The sequence below is a fragment of the Homo sapiens genome, chromosome 1 (assembly GCF_000001405.40).
Source record: "Homo sapiens chromosome 1, GRCh38.p14 Primary Assembly".
NCBI classification, from domain to species: Eukaryota; Metazoa; Chordata; class Mammalia; order Primates; family Hominidae; genus Homo; species Homo sapiens.
In genome coordinates, this window is record NC_000001.11 from 13842952 (window position 1) to 13863286 (window position 20335).

General features: G+C 39.9%; 1 annotated feature.

Annotated features, from left to right (window-relative positions):
- Nucleotides 1261-1835: an enhancer, noted in NCBI's record as "OCT4-NANOG hESC enhancer chr1:14170707-14171281 (GRCh37/hg19 assembly coordinates)". NCBI's record gives its function as "activates a minimal SCP1, AML or CMV promoter by ChIP-STARR-seq in naive H9 embryonic stem cells {active_cell/tissue: H9 hESC(naive)}" and the evidence as "EXISTENCE:reporter gene assay evidence [ECO:0000049][PMID:30033119]".

Sequence of the window (20335 nt, forward strand, 5' to 3'; positions counted from 1 at the left end):
TGAGTGAGTTCTCACGAGATCTGAGGGTTGTAGAAGTATGTGACAATTCCTCCTTCACACACTTTCTCTCTCTCCTGCAGCCTTGTGAAGAAGGTGACTGCTTCCCCTCCTGCCATGATTGCAAGTTTCCTGAGGCCTCCCAAGCCATGCAGAACTGTGAGTAAATTAAACCCCTTCCTTTATAAATTACCTAGCCTCATGTATGTCTATAGCAGTGTGACAATGGACTAATACAAGAAGGGACTCCTCCCACCTCATTCTATAAGGTTAGCATCATGTGGGGATTATGGGGATTACAGTTTGAGATGAGATTTGGTTGAGGTCACAGAGATAAACCATATCACTCCTTCTCAGTTTTTTAGAATAGTTTCAGTAGGAATGGTATCAGCTTTTCTTTGTACATCTGGTAGAATTCAGCTGTAAATTCGTCTGGTCCCAGACTTTGTTTTGGTTGGTAAGCTTTTTATTACTGATTCAATTTTGGAACTCATTATTGGTTTGTTCAGGGATTCAGTTTCCTCCTGGTTCAGTCTTGGGAGGTTGTATGTGTCTAGGAAATTATCCATTTCTTCTAGATTTTTTAGTTTGTGTGCATAGAGGTGTTCATAGTAGTCTCTGATATTTTTTCCTGTGGGATCAGTGGTAATGCCCTCTTTGTCACTTCTAATTGTGTTTATTTGGATATTCTCTCTTTTTTTTCTTTATTAGTCTAGCTAGCAGTCTATCTAATTAATCTTTTTCAAAGAACCACCTTCTGTATTCATTGATCTTTTGTATGGTTTTTTATGTCTCAATTTCCTTTGGCTCAGCTCTGATTTTGGTTATTTCTTGTCTTCTGCTAGCTTTAGAGTTAGTTTGCTCTTGCTTCTCTAGTTCTTCTAGTTGTGATGTTAGGTTGTTAATTTGAGATCTTTCTAACTTTTTGAAATAGGGATTTAGATCTATAAACTCCCACTTAATACTGCCTTAGTTGTGTCCCAGAGATATTAGTATGTTGTATCTTTTTCTCATTAGTTTCAAAGAATTTCTTGATTTCTTCCTTGATTTCATTGTTTACCCCAAAATCACTCAGGAGCAAGTTGTTTAATTTTCACTTAACTATATCGTTTTGAGTGATTTTCTTGGCATTGATTTCTACTTTTATTGTGCTGTGGTCTGATAGTGTGGTTGGTCTGACTTCATTTTTTTGAATTTGCTAAGTACTGTTTTATGTCCAATTGTGTGGTTGATTTTGGAGTATGTGCCATGTGGCAATGAAAAGAATGTATATTCTGTTGGCTTATAGGATTTCTGCTGAAAGGTCCATTGTTAGCTTGATGGGGATCCCTTTGTAAGTGACCTGCCCCTTCTCTCTAGGTGCCTTTAACATTTTTTCTTTCATTTGGACCTGTGGGGGTCCAACCCACAGACCCTGACCTAGTGATGGATGAAAGACGTACACTGACACAGATATTTTCTCTGTCAGTCTGGCTAAGAGGCTCTGCTCTGAGTGTGGAGCATTGCCTCAATAAGCCGGTGAAGTTCACATTTATTTAGCACAGATTAAATGACAAAAGTCTCAAGTAAACACCATTAGAGGGTAATTAATATTGCCGACCCCCCGAGTAGAGAGCAATTATGCACCCATGGTTGATCAAAGGTTGGTCTTAGGACCACATAAATAAGCTATTTAGATAAATGCCCCACATTCCCTTGATATTTGCTTTTTTTGCTATCAACAAAGGCAAAGAGGATTAGGCTGCCTTCAGCCAAATCTGTTACTGAAGCCATGCAAACCCCCTGGCCTTCCAAGAAACTTTGTGTCTATTCCCTATAACTATATCTATAATTTTTTCCAACCACACTGATTGATCCCCTACATGGACTCTCGAGGGGGGTGTCTCACTCACTCACCCTTTCCTATATGGATAGGTTCTCCTGGCTCTGTGCTGAGCCCAGAGAGGCTGGTGCCCAGCTTTGCTCTTCTCTGCTCTCTGTGTTCCCTTGCTGCCTGGATGGAACCCACCGTGGTTTCTCAGATGATCTGCCTGTAGGGTCAGTGTTCATTAGTTCTTTTCTTTACACTCCATGACAGCAATACACAAGAGCTGCTTCTAGCCCACCATCTTGGCACTGCCCTACATTAAGTCTTAATTCCTCAGGCTTTATTCTTTTTTTCCGAGGATTATTTTAACTACTACAGTTCCTTTGTATTACTATAAAACTTTGGAATAGTCTCGTTTATATCTATAAAAAATCTTGCTGGGATTTGGATACGAATTGTGTAAAACCTATACACAGTTTAGGAAGTTCCTATCAGTTTAGGAAGAATTGTCATTTTTACTATGTCGAGTTTTCCAATCTGTGAACATGGTATCTCTTCATTTATCTAGTTATTCTTTTATTTCTTTCATGAATTTTATGTAGTTTTCAGAATAAAAGTCCAATATAGACTTAGTTAGACTTACATCTGAGTATTACGTTTTCTGAATGATTGTAAATGGTATTATATTTTAAATGTGGATGTCCATGCATTCCTAGTGAGTATAGAAAATGCAATTGATTTTTTGGGTGTAGATCTTGTATCTTTTTTTTTTTTGAGACAGAGTCTCACACTGTTGACTGGGCTAGAGTGCAGTGGCACAATCTCAGCTCACTGCAACCTCTGCCTCCCAGGTTCAAGCGATTCTCCTGCCTCAGCCTCCCTAGTAGCTGGGATTACAGTCATCCGCCACCACGCCCAGCTAATTTTTTGTATTTTTTTAGTAGAGACGGAGTTTCACCATGTTGGCCAGGCTGGTCTCGAACTCCTGACCTTGTGATTTGCCCGCCTTGGCCTCCCAAAGTGTTGGGATTACAGGCATGAGCCACCACGCCTGGCCAGATCTTGCATGTTGTGACTTTGATAAACTCACTTTGTAGTTCTAAGAGTTTTTGGTAGATTTTTTGGGATTTTTCTATATATTATAGGAAATCGTGTTATCTGAAAATAGAAACTCCCTTCCTTCCTTCCTTCCTACCTTCCTTCCTTCTTTCTTTCTTTTTCTTTTTCTTCTTACATATATGCTTTTCTTTTCTTTTTCTTTTTTTTTTTGGCTTTATTGCACTGTCTAGAACTTCCAGAACTATGTTGAATAAGAGCTGTGAGAGCATTTATTCTTGCCTTGTTTCCAACCTTAGGGGAAAAGCATTCGGTCTTTTGCTATTAAGTATAATGTTAGCTGTAGGTCTTTTGTAGATGTTCTTTATCAAGTTGAGGAAGTTCCTGTTCTTCCGACTTTCTGAGAGTTTTTTGTCATAAGTAGATGTTGACTTTTGTCAAATGTCTTTTCCTACATCAATTGATATCATCATGTGACTTACTTTTTAGCCTGTTAATATGGCATATCACTTTTAATAATTTTTGAATCAGAAATCTGCCTTGCATTCTTGGGATAAACCCCACTTGGTTATGTTGTATAATTCTTTTAATATATTTGCTAACACTTTGTTTGTTAAATTTTTTTGTCTATATTCAGAAGGAATATTGACCTATAGTTGTCTTTTTTTGTACTATCTGTTTGGCTTTGGTATCAAGGTAGAACTAGCTTTATACATTCAATTGGGAGTATGCTCTTCTTTTCTGTTTTTTGGAAGAGATTGTGTGGAATTAGTGTTAATTCTTCTTTAAATGTTTGGTAGAATCCTCAAGTAAATTTATTTGGGCCTGGAGATATCCTTTTTGGGAGTTTTTTTTAACATTATGAATTTCATTTATTTAATAGTTATAGGGCTATTGAAATAATCTATTTCATATTGGATGAGTTGTGGTAATATATGTTTTTAGATGAAATAGATCACTTCCTCAAAGTCATCAAATGTATGCGTGTATTCACAGTATTCTGTTATTCTCCTTTCAATCCCCTGTATTATTCCTGATGTTTCTAGTTCTGCTAGTCTAGTTGCGTTTATCTATTTTCTGATCTTGTCAAAGAACCAACTCTTTTTTCATTAAAAAGAGTTTATTTCTGTGTATATTATTTTCTGTTTTAAATTTCACTGATTTTTAAAATCTTATCTTTATTATTTCACTCCTTCTTTTGCTCTGGGATTCTTCTTCCTTTTCTAGGTTCTTGAGGTAAAAGTTTAGATTATTTACTCAAGAGTTTTTCTTTCTTCAGATGTATGCATTTAGTGCTGTAAGTTTCCTTTTCAGTTTTAGCTGTGTCCCAGACATTTTATGTTGGATTTTCACTTTCATTCAGTTTAATGTATTTTTAATTTTTCTTGAGACTTCCTTTTTTGATTTATGGATTATTTAGATGTATATTGCTTAGTTTCTAAGTATTTGGAAGTTTTCCTCTCATCTTCTGCTTTTGGTCCTCTGACCACATACATATTCTGTATGATTTTATTTTTTAAAAACTGTTGAGGTTTGTTTTATGGCATAGGACATAGCATATCTTGGTGTATGTTTGGTGGGCACTTACAAAGAATGTGTATTCTGTTGTTGGGGTGAGTGTTCTAAAAATGTCAGTTAGAACTTATTTGTTTGTAGTTAATATGATTTGGCTCTGTGTCCCCACCCAAATCTCACCTTCAATTGTAATGCCCATAATCCCCACTTGTCAAGGGCATGACCAGATAAAGGTAATTAAATCACGGGGGTGGTTTTGCCCATGCTGTTCTCGTGATAATGAGTGAGTCTCATGAGATCTGATGGTTTTATAAGCATCTGGCATTTTCCCTGCTTGCATTCACTGTGTCCAGCCATCTGTGAAGAAGGTGCCTGTTTCTCCTTTGCCTTCCACCATGATTGTAAGTTTCCTCAGGCCTCCCCAGCAATGTGGAACTGTGAGTCAATTAAACCTCTTTCCTTTATAAATTATCCAGTCATGGGCAGTTCTTTATAGAAGTGTGAAAACAGACTAATACAGTAAATTGGTACTTCAGACAGTGGGGTACTGCTACAAAGATATCTGAAAATGTGGAAGTGACCTTGTAACTGGGTAATAGGCAGAGGTTGGAACAGTTTGGAGGGCTCAATAAAAGAAAGAAATATGCAGGAAAGTTTGGAACATCCTAGAGAATTGTTGAATGGCTTTGACCAAAATGCTGATAGTGATATGGACAATGAAGTCCAGGCAGAGGTGGTCTCAGATGGAGAGGAGAAACTTGTTGGGAACTGGGATAAAGGTGACTCTTTCTATGCTTTAACAAAGAGACTGGTGACATTTAGCCCCTGCCCTACAGTTCTGTGGAACTTTGAACCTGACAGAGATGATTTAGGGTATCTGGTGGAAGAAATTTCTAAGAAGCAAAGCGTTCAAGAGGGAGCAAAGCATAAAAGTTTGGAAAATTTGCAGCCTGGCCGTGATGTAGAAAATAAAAACCTGTGTTCTGGGGAGAAATTCCAGCCAGCTGCAGAAATTTGCATAAGTAATGAGAAGCCAAATGTTAATCATCAAGACAATGGGGAAAATGTCTCCAGGGCATGTCAGAGGTCTTCAGGGAGCCCCTTCCATCACAGACCCAGAGGTCTAGAAGGGAAAAATCAGTTCGTGGGCCAGGCCCAGGGCCTTGATGGTTTGTGCAGTTTGGGGACTTGATGCCCTGCATTCCAGCTGTGGCTAAAAAGGGCTGACGTACAGCTCAGGCCATTGCCTCAGAGGGTGCAAGCCCTAAGTCTTGGCAGCCTATATGTGTTGTTGGTCCTCCAGGTGCACAGAAGTCAAGAATTCAGGTTTGGGAACCTCTGCCTATATTTCAGAGGGTATATGGAAATGCCTGGATGTCCAGGCAAAAGTTTGCTCCAGGGGCAGAGCTCTCAGGGAGAACCTCTGTTAGGGCAGTGCAGAAGGGAAATATGGGGTCAGGGCCCCCACACAGAGTCCCCATGAGGGGTCTGCCTAGTGGAGCTGTGGGAAGAGGGCCACCATCCTCCAGACCCCAGAATGGCAGATCCACCGACAGTTTGCACTGTACTCCTGAAAAAGCCACAGACACTCAACACAAGCTCATGAAAGTACCTGGGATGGGGGCTGTATCCTGTAAAGCCACAGGGGCAGAGCTGGCCCAAGACCATGGGAGCCCACCCCTTGCATCAGCTTGACATGGATATGAGACATGGAGTCAAAGGAGATCATTTTGGAACTTCAGGCTTTAATGACTGCCCTATTGAATTTTGGACTTGCATGGGGCCTGTAGCTCCTTTGTTTTGGCCAATTTCTCCCATTTGGAACAGGAGCATTTATCCGATGCCTATACCTCCATTGTATCTAGGAAGTAATTAGCTTGGTTAATTTTACAAGCCCATAGGCCGAAGGGACATGCCTTGTCTCAGATGAGACTTTGGACTGTGGACATTTGAGTTAATGCTGAAATGAGTTAAGACTTTGGGTAACTGTTGGGAAGGCATAGTTGGTTTTGAAATGTGAAAAGACATGAGATTTGGGAAGGGCCAGGAGGGGAATGACATGGTTTGGCTCTGTGTCCCCACCCAAATATCACCTTGAATTGTAATCTCCTGATATGGTCTGGCTGTGTCCCTACCCAAATCTCATCTTGAATTGTAACTCCCACAATTCTCAAATGTCATGGGAGGAACCTGGTGGGAGGTGATTGAATTATGGGGGCAGGTCTTTCCTGTGCTGTTCTTATGATAGCAAATGAGTCTCACGAGATCTGATGGTTTTAAAAACAGGAGTTTCTCTGCATAAGCTCTCTCTTGTCTGCCACCATGTGAGACATGCCTTTCACCTTCCACCATGATCGTTAGGCCTCCCCAGCCATGTGGAACTGTAAGTCCAATAAACCTCTTTCTTTTATAAATTGCCCAATCTTGGATATGTCATTATCAGCAGTGTGAAAACGGACTAGTACAGTAAATTGGCCAGTAGAATAAGGTGTTGGTGAAAAGATGCCTGAAAATGTGGAAGTGACTTTGAAGCTGGGTAACAGGCAGAGGTTGAAAGAGTTTGGAGGGCTCAGAATAAGACAGGAAAATGTGGAAAGTTTGGAACTTCATAGAGACCTGTTGAATGGCTTTGCCCAAAATGCTGATAGTGATATGGACAATAAAGCCCAGGCTGAGGTGGTATCAGATGGAAATGAGGAACTTGTTGGGAACTGGAGCTAAGATGACTCTTGTTATATTTTAGTGAAGAGACTGGTGGCATTTTGCCCCTTCCCTAGAGATTTGTGAAACTATGTACTTGAGGGAGATGATTTAGGGTATCTAGCAGAAGAAATTTCTAAGCAGCAAAGCATTCAAGATGTGACTTGGGTGCTGTTAAAGGCATTCAGTTTCAAAAGGGAAACAGAGCATAAAAATTTGGAAAATGCATGGCCTGACAATGCAATGGAAAGAAAAATTCTATTCTCTGAGGAGAAATTCAAGCTAGCTGCAGAAATTTGCATAAGTAACGAGGAGCCAAACGTTAATCCCCAAGACAATGGGGAAAATGTCTGCAGAGCATGTCAGAGACCTTTGTAGCAGCCCTGCCCATTACAGGCCTGGAGGCCTAGGAGGAAAAGTTGGTTTTGTGGGCCAGGCCCAGGATCCCCATGCTGTGTGCAGCCTAGAGATTTGGTGCCCTGTGTCCCTGCCACTGCAGCCATGGCTGAAAGGGGCCAATGTGGAGCTTGGACTGTGGCTTCAGAGGGTGCAACCCTCAAGCCTTGGTAGCTTCCATGTGGTGTTGAGCCTGTGAGTGCACAGAAGTCAAGAATTGAGGTTTGGAAACCTCTGCATAGATTTCAGAAGATGTATGGAAATACCTGGATGCTCAGGCAGAAGTTTGCTATAGGGGTGGGGTTCTCATGGAGAACCTCTGCTAGAGCAGTGCAGAAGGGAAATGTGGGATGGGAGCCCCCACACAGAGTCTGTACTGGGGCACCACCTAATGGAGCTGTGAGAAGAGGGCCACCATCCGCCAGACCCCAGAATGGTAGATCCACTGACAGCTTGCACCATGCTTCTGGAAAAAACCACAGACATTCAATGCCAGTCCATGAAGGCAGTCAGGAGGGAGGCTGCCTGCCTGCAAAACCATAGGGGCGGAGCTTCCCAAGACCATGGGAACCCACCTCTTATATCAGTAAGACCTGGATGTGAGACGTGGAGTCAAAGGAGATCATTTTGGAGCTTTAAGATTTGACTGTCCCTAGGTTCTTGGAGGCTGCAGCTTTAAGTGAAATTGTATACCCTATAAAGAAATCAATTTACCATAGGTTAGTTGATATAAACAAGAGTTAAGTTCTTATGGCAGATAGCGTGTTGTTTCACTTAAAAGCCTCAGTTTCCGCGAACCTATCGACAACATTAACTGAGAACTTATTTTAAAGCAGGTTTTGAATGTGTTATCAAAATGGTAAAGAATATTTAATAAATTATCAAAATCAAGTGATGGTCATCAAAAGAGACATATAAATAGCTGACTGCTACAAATATGTTTGTATGACTTTTGGACTAAACTAAAACAATAAGTATAAAATGTATTAAGCACAGCCAAAGATGTACTTTTTTTCCATCTGGATCTGTGAATTTTAGGAGGGATCTTTTTTTGCTGTCATAGCCATTAAATCCAAGTACTTGTATATCATGCCCTTAAAATTAAGACTATGAATCACTGTGTCACAAAGTACTAAACCAACATTTCAAATATAATGAAGCACATTCAATAATATTGCTATGTTTAAACATATGAATACTTACAATGTTTTTCATAAAAGTAAAAGGGTTTATTATTACTAAATTAACTTTAAATTACTCCAACATAAAATAAAATGAAACATCTGTTAAAAAAAAAAGACTTGACTGTCCCTTTGGATTTGGGACTTGCATGGGGCCTGTAGCCTCTTTGTTTTGGCCAGTTTCTCCCATTTGTAAGAGGAGCATTCATTCAATGTCTGTATCCCCATTGTATCTAAGAAGTAGCTAATTTGCTTTTGATTTTACAGGCTCATAGGTAGAAGGGAGTTGCCTTGTCTTGGATGAGACTTTGGACTGTGGACTTTTGAGTTAATGCTGAAATGAGTTGAGACTTTGGGGGACTGTTGGGAAGGCATGATTAGTTTCGAAATGTGAAGATATGAGATTTGGTTGGGGCCGGGGTGGAATGATATGGTTTGGCTCTGTCCCCACCCAAATCTCTTCTTCATTGTAACTTCCACAATGTGGGAGGAACCTGGTGGGAGGTGATTGAATTATGAGGGTAGGTATTTCCTGCACTGTTCTCATGATAGTGAATGACTCTCATGAGATCTGGTGGTTTTAAAAATGGAAGTTTCTCTGCACAAGCTCTCTCTTTGCCTGCCACCATTCACATAAAATGTGATTTGCTCCTCCTTGCCTTTTGCTGTGATTGTGAGGCCTCCCCAGCCATGTGGAACTGTGAGTCCAATTAAACCTCTGTCTTTTGTAAATTGCCCAGTCTCGGATATGTCTTTATCAGCAGCCTGAAAGGGGACTAATACATTCCCCTAATTTCTACTTGTTAAGGGCAGGACCAGGTGGAGGTAATTGAATCATGGGGGCAGTTTCCCTCATGCTGTTCTCATGATAATGAGTGAGTCTCATGAGATCCGATGGTTTTATAAGTGTCTGGCATTTCCCGTGCTTGCACTCACCCTGTTCTGCCACCCTGTGAAGAAGGTTCCTGCTTCTCCTTTGCCTTCCACCATGATTGTAAGTTTCCTGAAGCCTCCCCAGCAATGTGGAACTGTGAGTCAATTAAACCTCTTTTCTTTATAAATTACCCAGTCTCAGGCAGTTCTTTATAGCAATATGAGAATGGATTAATACAGTAATGTTTTGATTTTTCATATCTTAGCTGATTTCTTTCTGGTTATTTTATCAATTGTTGAAAGAAGGGTGTTAAAGTTTCCAACTATTTTTATGGATTTGTCTATTATTCTGTCCAGTTGTATCAGTAGTATTTCACATATTTGGAGTTCTGTTGTTTGGTATATACATGCTTAGGATTTCTATGGGCCATGTAAAAAATACTTTGCCAATTTATGTCTTTTAATTCATATAATTAGATTATTTACATTTAATGCAATTGTTGATATGTTGGAGGTTAAATCTATAAATTTTGTTTTTTCTTTCCATCTTTCATTTGTTGTATTTACCTGTCAGTTAATTGACCATTAAAAATTCAATTTTAATCTATTAGTAGTGTTTTTGAGTATATCTCTTTGTATCTTTTCACAGGTTTTTGAGTGGTTGCTCTAGGCATTATATTATACATACACGACTATCAGAGTCTACTGGTATCATCATTTTACCACTTCAAGTGAAGTGTCAAAATTTTACCTACCTTATGCTCTTTTACCTTCCCCTATTTATAGCATAATTACATTAAATATTTCCTTTATACACATTCAGAACCAGATCCGACAGTGTAATGTTTGCTTTATCAATCAAATATAGTTTAGAAAACTCAAAAGAAGGAAAGCCTATTATATTTACTTATAATTTTGTTTACCCCTTTTTTTCTTTATTTCTGGTTGTATTAGTTGCTGCTGTAACAGATTACCCCAAACTTGATGGCTTAAGACAAAGCAATTTTTTATTATCTTATAGTTCTGGAGGTCAGAAGTCTAAAATGGGTTGACAGGGCTACATTTCTTTTGAAGAATTTAGCAGAGTACCTGCTCCTTTGCTGATTGTTGTAATGGAGCGAATCTGTTCTCTTGCCTTTTCTAGCTTTTAGAGGCCACCTGTATTCCACGGCTTATGATCCCTTCTTCCACGTGAAAGCCATCAGTGTAGCATCTTTAAATCCTCCTCTTTCTTTCTGCTTCCATTCTCACAGTTTTTTCTATTCTCTCTCTCCTGCCTCCCTCCTAAAGGGACCTCTATAATTATATTAAGCCCATCTGGGCAATCCAGGATAATCTCATCTCAATATCCTTAATTCAATTACATCTGAAAAGTTCTTTTCATTATGTAAAGTAACATGTTCACAGGTTCCTAGGATTAGGATGCAGACATCTTTGGGAGGCCATTATTCTTTTTACCACAATGATATTCCAAGTGTAATCTTTTTTTCATTGCCTTTCTGTTTAGAGAACTTTTAGCAGAGAAAGGGTAGATTACTCTTTCTAGGGTGACAAATTCTCCTACTTTTCCTTCATCTGAGAATGTCTTGGTTTGCCCTTTATTCCTTAAGGAAATTTTCACTGGCTGTAGGATTCTAAGTTGACAGTTCTTTTCTTTCAGTGGCTGAAAACTTTGTCACTCCTTTCTGGCATCCATGGTTTCTGAATGAAAAACTCTCTGTCATAGAAGTTGCTTTTCCGCCATAGGGTATAGTTTCCTTACTATCTTATGTGCCCAGGCACTTTTTGTACATTTCCTGCCCCAGACACACCTGGAATCAGCTATTTCTCCAAGAAACCCTGGTTTCTTCTAATGAGGAATGTTGCTTCACAGTGACAGTTGGGTGCTAGGGAATGCTCCTTGCCACTGGGCCTGGAATACAACCAACGTTTTCTCTTTTTTGTTGTTGTTCATTTTTTAAAAAAATTTTATTTTAGGTTTTGGGGTACACGTGAAGGTTTTTTACATAGGTAAACATGTCACAGGTTTGTTATACATATTATTTCATTACCCGGGTATTAAGCCCAGTACCCAATAGTTGTCTTTTTTGTTCCTCTTCTTCCTCCCACCCTTCCCCTTCAAGTAAATCCCAGTGTCTGTTGTTTTCTTCTTTGTGTTTACAGGTTCTTATCATTTAGCTCCCACTTATAAGTGAGAACATGCAGTATTTGGTTTTCTGCTCCTGCATGAGTGAGATGGTTTGGCTTTGTTTCTCCACTGAAATCTCATCTTTAATTGTAACCCCATGTATTGAGGGACTTGGTGGGAGGTGACTGGATCATGGGGGAGTTTTCTCCCATGCTGTTCTTGTGATAGTGAGGGAGTTCTCGTGAGATCTCATATTTTAAAAGTGGCAATTTCCCCTGCCTGCTCTTTTTCTCCCACTGCCATGTATGAAGGTACTTGCTTCTCCTTAGTCTTCCATCATGATTGTAAGTTTCCTGTGGCCTCCATAGCCATGTGGAACTGTGAGTCAATTAAGCCACTTTTCTTTATAAATTACACAGTCTCAAGCAGTATCTTTATAGCAGTATGAAAACAGACTAATACAGAAAATTGGTACCAGGAGAGGGGTATGCTCTAAAGATAACCTGAAAATATGGAATTGACTGTGGAACTGAGTAATGGGCAGAGGTTGGAACAATTTGGAGGGCTCAGAAGAAGACAGAAAAATGTGTGAAAGTTTGAAAGTTCCTAGAATCTTGTTGAATGGTTTTGATCAAAATGCTGATAGTAATATGGACAGTGCCAGGCTTAGGTGGTCTCAGATGGAGATGAGGAACTTCTTAGGAACTGGAGCAAATGTCACTCTTGCTATGCTTTAGTTGGTGGCATTTTGCCCCTGCCCTAGAGATCTGTGGAACTTTGAACATAAGAGAGATGATTTAGGGTATCTGGTGGAAGAAATTTCTAAGCAGAAAAGCATTCAAGAGGTAACCTGGCTGATTCTGAAAACATTCAGTCATATGTGCTCACAAAGAGATTATCTGAAACTGGAACTTTTATTTAAAAGAGAAGCAGAGCATAAAAGTTTGGAAAATTTGCAGCCTGTCCATGAAATAGAAAAGAAAAACCCATTTTCTGGGGAGAAATTCAAGCCACCTGCAGAAATTTGCATAAGTAAGAGGAACAGAATGTTAATCCCCAAGACAGTGGGGAAAATGTCTCCAGGGCATTTCCAAGATCTTCATGGCAGCCCCTCCCATCACAGGCCCAAAGGCCTAGGAGGAGAAAATGGTTTTGTGGGCTGGTCCCAGGGCCCTGCTTCTCTGTGCAGCCTGGGAACTTGGTGCCCTGTGTCCCAGCCACTCTGGCTCCAGCCAAGGCTAAAAGGGGCCAACGTACAGCTCAGGCCATTGCTTCAGATGGTGCAAGCCCCAGGCTAGGTGGCTTCCATGTGGTGTTAGGCCTGTGAGTGTGCAGAAGACAAGAGGTGAGGTTTGAGAACCTCTGCCTAGATTTCAGAGGATTTATGGAAATGCCTGGATGTCAAGGCAGAAGTCTGCTGCAGGGGTAGAGTCCTCATGGAGAACCTCTACTAGGATAATGCAGAGGGGAAATGTGGAGTTGGAGCTCCCACACAGGGTCTCCACTGGGGGACTGCCTAGTGGAGCTGTGAGAAGAGGGCCACAGTTCTTCAGTCTGCAGAATGGTAGATCCACTGATATCTTGCACTGTGCACCTGAAAAAGCTGCAGGCACTTAACGCCAGCCCATGAAAACAGCCTCAGGAGCTATGCCATGCAGAGCCACAGGGGCAGAGCTGTCCTAGGCATTAGGAGCCCACCCCTTGCATCGGTGTGCCCTGGATGTGAGACATGGAGTCAAAGGAGATTATTTTGGAGATCTAAGATTTAGTGAATGTCCTGCTGGGTTTTGGACTTGCATGGTGCCTGGGACCCTTTGTTTTGGCCAATTTCTCCCACTTGCAATGGGAACATTTGCCCGACGCTTGTACTCCCATTGTATCTTGGAAGTAACTAACTTGTTTGTGATTTAATAGGCTTATAGGCAGAAGGGACATTCCTTGTCTCAGATAAGACTTTGGACTTGGACTTTTGAGTTAATGCTGGAATGAGTTAAGACTTTGGGGAACTGTTAGGAAGGCAAGATTGGTTTTGAAATGTGAAAAGGACATAAGATTTGGGAGGGGCTGTGGTGGAATGATATGGTTTGGCTTTGTGTTTCCACCCAAATCTCATCTCAAATTGTAATGTCCACATGTTGAGGGAGGGACGTGCTGGGAGGTGATTTGATCATGGGGGTGGTTTTCCCCATGCTGTTCTTGTGATAGTGAGGTGTTCTTACGAGATCTGATTGTTTAAAAGTGGCAGTTTTCCCTCTCTCTCTCTCTTCTGCCACCATGCAAGAAGGTGCTTGCTTCCCTTTTGCCTTCTGCCATAATTGTAAGTTTCCTAAGGTCTTCCCAGCTATGCAGAACTGTGAGCCTATTAAGCCTCTTTACTCAGTCTCAGACAGTATCATTATAGCAGTGTATGGACTAATACAGTTACTTTGCTAAATATGATAGCCTCCTGCTTCATCAATGTTCCCACAAAAGACACAATCTCATTCTTTTTTATGGCTGCATGATATTCCATGGTGTATGTATACCACATTTTCTTTATCCAGTCTGTCATTGATGGGCATTTAGGTTATTCCATGTCTTTGCTACTGTAAATAGTGCTGCAATGAACATTCGTTTGCATGTGTCTTTATGCTAGAATGCTTTATGCTCCTCTCGGTAAATATCCAGTAATGGAATTGCTGGGTTAAATGGTAGTTCTGCTTTTAGCTCTTTGAGGACTTGCCATACCGCTTTCCCCAATGGTTGAACTAATTTACATTCCCACCAACAGTGTATAAGTGTTCCCTTTTCTCCACAACTTCATCAACATCTGTTATTTTTTGACATTTCAATAACAGCCATTCTGATTGGTGTGAGATTATATTTCATTGTGGTTTTGATTTGCATTTCTCTAATGATCAGTGATATTGAGATTTTTTTCATATGCTTGTTGACTGCATGTATGTCTTCTTTTGAGAAATGTCTGTTCATGCCTTTGCCACATTTTAATGGGGACTTGTCTCGGATGAGACTGAGACTTTTTTTCTTGTAAATTTGTTTAAGTTCCTTATAGATGTTGGATATTAGACCTTTGTCAGATACATAGTTTGCAAATATTTTCTCCCATTCTGTAGGTTTTCTGTTTACTCTGTTGATAGTTTCTTTTGCTGTGCAGAAGCTATTGAGTTTATTTAGATTCTACTTGTCAATTTTTGCCTTTGTTACAATTGCTTTTGGTGTTCTTGTCATGAAATCTTTGCCAAATCCTATGTCCAGGATGGTATTGTCTAGGTTGCCTTCCAAGGTTTTTATAGTTTTGGGTTTTACATTTAAGTATTTAATCCATTGTGAGTTGACTTTTGTATATGGTGTAAGGAAAGGGTCTAGCTTCAATCTTCTGCATATGGTTAACCAGTTATCCCGGCACCATTTATTGAATAGAGAGTCTTTTTCCCATTGTTTGTTTTTGTCAGCTTTGTCAAAGATCAGATGGTCATAGATGTGCAACCTTATTTCTGGGCTCTCCATTCTTTTCCATTGGTCTATTTGCCTGTTTTTGTACCATTACCATGCTGTTTTGGTTACTGTATCCTTGTAGTATAGTTTGAAGTCAGGTAACATGATGCCTACAGCTTTGTTCTTTTTGCTTAGGATTGCCTTGGCTATTCATGCTCTTTTTTTGGTTCCATATACATTTAAAAATATTTTTTCTAGTTCTGTGAAGAATGTTATTGGTAGTTTGACAGGACTAGCATTGAACCTGTAAATTGCTTTGGGCAGTATAGCCATTTTAATGATACTGATTTTTCCTATCCATGAGCCTGGAATTTTTTTTTTATTTGTGTCATCTCTGATTTTTTTGAGCAGTGTTTTGTAATTCTCATGGTAGAGATCTTTTACTTCCCTGGTTAGCTATATTTCTAGGTATTTTGTGTGTGTGGCAATTATAAATGAGATTGCCTTTCTGATTTGGCTCTTGGTTTGACTGTTGTTGGTGTATAGGAATGGTAATGATTTTTGTACATTGATTTTGTATCCTGCAATTTTGCTGAAGTTGTTTATCAGCTGAAGGGGCTTTTGGGCTAAGACTATGAGGTTTTCTAGATACAGAATCATGTCGTCTGCAAACAGAGATAGTTTGACTTCGTCTCTTCCTATTTGCACGTTCTTTATTTCTTTCTCTGATTGCCTGGTTACTCTGGCTAGGACTTCTAATACTATGTTAAACAGAATATAACCAGTGTTTTCAATGGGGCATGTAGCTACAATCTTGAATTTTGCTAATCACCAATGCAGAGAAAAAGGGGACTTTGGAGGGTTTTTACATCTGCAACTAAATGCTCTGTCATAGAGTGATGCATGTTACTTCCATTCCTAACTCATTGGCCAGGACTAGTTGCCTGGCCTTATCCAATCATAAGGGGCCCAAGAAATGCACTCCTATCATGAATCTTGGAAGCAAAAATGGAAAATATTTGAATGGTAGTAATGTACCTCACAGTACGAGAACCCCATATGCAGCCTGGTCTAATCAATTAGACATCAAATTAATGTTTAGAAAATGTATTGAATCAGAACTGAAAGTGGTAGGGACAAACACAATGTTTGAAGTCAGATCTATGTTTGAATCTTGATTCCTCTGCTACCTAGTTCTGTTTCCCTGAATGAGTTATATATTGTCTCTTTCCGTATTTGAACTGGAGATGATGATTGCATATTATTTTGTGGGATTATTTTAAGGAATAATGGAGAATGCATGTAAAGCTTCTAGCCTATTTTCTAGAACATAGTAAATGCTCAATGCTTAGTAACTCTACTATTTCCTCTTGGTGGAAATTTCTACCTATGTTTTTTGAAACTTAAAAAAAACTTTGTTTCTTACTACCTAACCTGCCATTGTGAAACTTAATTTTTTAAAAATAAAGTAATATGCATTCATAGTTTAAAAGTTAAATTATCATGTCTGATAACAAAATAGCAGAACTCTTGCCAACCTTTTTACCCCAAATTTTCATTTCCAGAAGAAACTACTTTTAATATTTTTAGTTGCTTCTGGTATTACCCATTTATATATGGTATGCTAATGTCACCTAAAATTGAAAAAAATCAATGAATATTATCTATTATAGTTGGCCCTGCATATCCATGGGTTTTATATCTGTAGATTTAACCAACTGTAGATAAAAACCTGCAGATATGAAGGTTGACTATACTACACCATTTTATATAAGGGACTGGAGCATCCCCAGAATTTGGTATCCACAGAGAATCCTGGAACCAATCCATCATGGATACAGAGGGCTGACTATACACATCTATAAGAGAAAATGAGGATTAGGCTTCCATACCAACCTCTCCCACTATAACCCATAAATTACAATTTTGCATTGAATTAATAGTCAGTAGTCAGTCTCTGTCGTGATGATGCAAACATGTTCTGTGCTGAGCCAGTAATAAATTGTGATTGCTTTTTTTTAAATTTCTCCACCCCTGCATTTTGTTTTATTTGCTTAGTTATTTATTTGCCTTATTTTCTGTGCCCATCCCCAGAGTCTTTGCCAGAGCTGTAAAACACCTCCGTATGGTCAAACTGGTTCTCTTGCTTTCTTGTTCTTGCTCTCTCTCTCTCTCACTCTGAGATATTCCCCTAAAGTCCTAATCCTTTTGTTATCAACTAGACTGGGCGCTCCCTAGGTGACTCAACAGCTGCCACTCTCCTTGGTCTTCCTTTTACTATCATTTCAAGGATTCATGTCATATCCTCTTGTGTTAGGATCTCAGAAGCAGGAGTTCCATGGGCCCACATTTCTTGGTTTATTCCCTTTCTTTATTGGATTCTACCTTTTAGTAGCTTCCTGAAAAGCGTGCATGGGAATGAAATTTGAGTCTCTACTAATCTAAAAATGTTTTTTTTTTTGTACTTTCAAGCTTCTTTTATAACTTAACCCAGCAGAATTCTAGGTTGAAAATTACATTTCTAAGGGCTTTGTTTCATCCTTTTTCAGCCTCCAATGTTCTTGCTGTCAAGAAATCCAGTATGCTGGATGCCATACCTGTTTTTCTTTAGAAGCTTTTAGGATCTTCTCCTGATCTCTGATGTTCAGACAGAAACTTCACAATGTGGCTAGGTATGAGTCCCTTTACATTTGTAGTACTTGCTGGGTACACTGCTCGGACTCTGAAATGTTGTTATAATTTTTGAATATTAAGAAAGAAGTGTTTCTTTTCTCTTTCTGGAACATTTATTATTTAGATATTTAGCTCCTGGAGTGATCTATCTGTTTTGCTCTTGATTCATTTGTTCTATTTTTTTTTTTTTTTTTTTTTTTTTGGTGAGACTTTCTCAGTGTTAGACTTCAAGTCATCTCTTAAAAATTAAATCTTTTTTTTTTTTTTTTGAGACAGAGTTTCACTCTTGTCGCCCAGGCTGGAGCTCGGTGGCACAATCTTGGCTCACTGCAACCTCTACCTTCCGGGTTCAAGCGATTTTCCTGCCTCAGCCTCCCCAGTAAGCTGGAATTACAGGTGCCTGCCACCATGCCTGGCTAATTTTTGTTTTTTTAGTAGAGATGGGGTTTCACCATGTTGGCTGGGCTGGCCTCGAACTCCTGACCTCAAGTGATTCACTCACCTCGGCCTCCCAAAGTGCTGAGATTACAGGCATGAGCCACCATGCCTAGCCTCATTTTTATTTTTTAAGATGTCTATTTTGTTATTCCTCTGTATTAACATCTCACAATTTCATGGGTACAAAATCATCTCTAACTCATCTTCTTTTTTGCAGTCATCTGATATATAATACATTGACTATTTCTAGAGAGCTTCTTTTTTTAGCTTTTATTTAAATTATATAGTTCTTTTGTATTCCAGTAACTATTCTAGGTGGTTTTACAAGTATTTACTTATTTGATAATCTACCTCTTATGAGGAAGGTCTCATGAAGTGATCCAAAGTCATTTGTTCAAGTCCCACAGGTTGCAAATGGCAGAGCAGGGATTTGAACCCAGGCCTTTGGCTCTAGAGCCCATGCTCTTAGCTACAATAACTAGGAGCTACATGCTTCCCTCAGGGGTCAGTCATGTCAGAGTGGGCTGTTTTGTCATACTTCGAGAGACACAAATGCTGGCAGGAAGCCTTGTATGCATGGGTGATGCTTGTCTGCTGGTGAGTCTCTCACAGGGTGTTTGGATAAAGACCTAGACATTCAGCAGGGACTCCTAAGTGTCAGTATCTCAGGAGTATCCTGAAAGGAGATGTATCGGGGTGATAAAAAACTGGCTTTAGCATTCTGATTGCTGCGTGGAGAAATACAATATATAGGCTTTTTCTTAATTTCCCTGTTTTTATTACAGCCTTGCTCTTGCCTTTAGCTGTGCTTGGCATTCATGAGTCCTGGGACTTTCTGGCTCAGCTACTCTCTGCAGTGTCCTTACCATTTTAAAAAATCACATTGCAGGAAGGGGGATGGGCAATCTAAGTGTTCCTTACAAATTTTCAATTCATTTTCCTATTTTTCAGCCCTCTTCCAATACCTACCTTCAGAAATGCCCTCTGCCTCTAGTTCTGAGCCTTTCTGGATTTCTATGATGTGTGTTGCAGCTTTCTGTTGACTGCCTTCCACTCCTCCTTGCCACGCCACTCCACTTTCAGCTTTCTCTGCCTTACGATGATCATCCTTTAGACATCTCCCTTCCAGCTGTCAATGTTTGTTGACAATTTATCTTCTCCCATCTCCCTCCTTCTTGTTGCCTTAGTGGCTTTCTACTTTTTTATTTAAAAAATTATCATTCTGCCCAGGCGTGGTGGCTCACGCCTGTAATCCCAGCACTTTGGGAGGCCGAGGCAGATGGATCACCTGAGGTCAGGAGTTCAAGACCAGCCTGGCAAACATGGTAAAACCCTGTCTCTACAAAAATACAAAAATTAGCTAGGCATGATGGTGGGTGCCTGTAATCCCAGCTACTTGGGAGGATGAGACAGGAGAATCGCTTGAACCCAGGAGGCGGAGGTTGCAATGAAGCGAGATCACACCATTGCACTCCAGCCTGGGTGACAAAGTGAGACTCTGTCTCAAAGAAAAAAAAGATATTCTATTGGAGTTATGGGAAGAGATTATTATAAATTCATGTTTAATCTATCACATTTAAACTATTTATTTATTTTGAGACAGGGTCTTGCTCTGTCATCTAGGCTGGAGTGCAATGGAGCAATCATGGTTCACTGCAGCCTCCACCTCCCAGGCTCAAGCGATCCTCCCACCTCAGCCTCCCAAGTAGCTACAGGTGTGTGCCAACGTGCCCGGCTAATTTTTAAATTTTTTTTTGCAGAGATGAGGTCTCACTGTGTTGCCCAGGCTGGTCTCAAACTCCTATGCTCAAGCAATCCTCCCACCTCAGCCTCTCAAAGTACTGGGATTACAGGCATGAGCCACCATGCCCAGCCTGAAAAACTACTTTTAAAAGAGGGAAGCACTTTATCCTTACAATGATCCAGACCTGAGCCTGTAGGTGAAGACCTCTTGAGAAAGAAGGCACAATAGAAGGGCAAGGCATTTGGGAATGATGGCTTTGTGCAGTACCTGTTATGTGATAGCAAGTCATTTATAATCTATATGAAGAAGGTGTCACTTCACATTAGAAAAGGGTAAAAGAAGGATAAGAAATGACTCTGATCTGGGAGAAATAAAAAATTAGACAAGTTTGG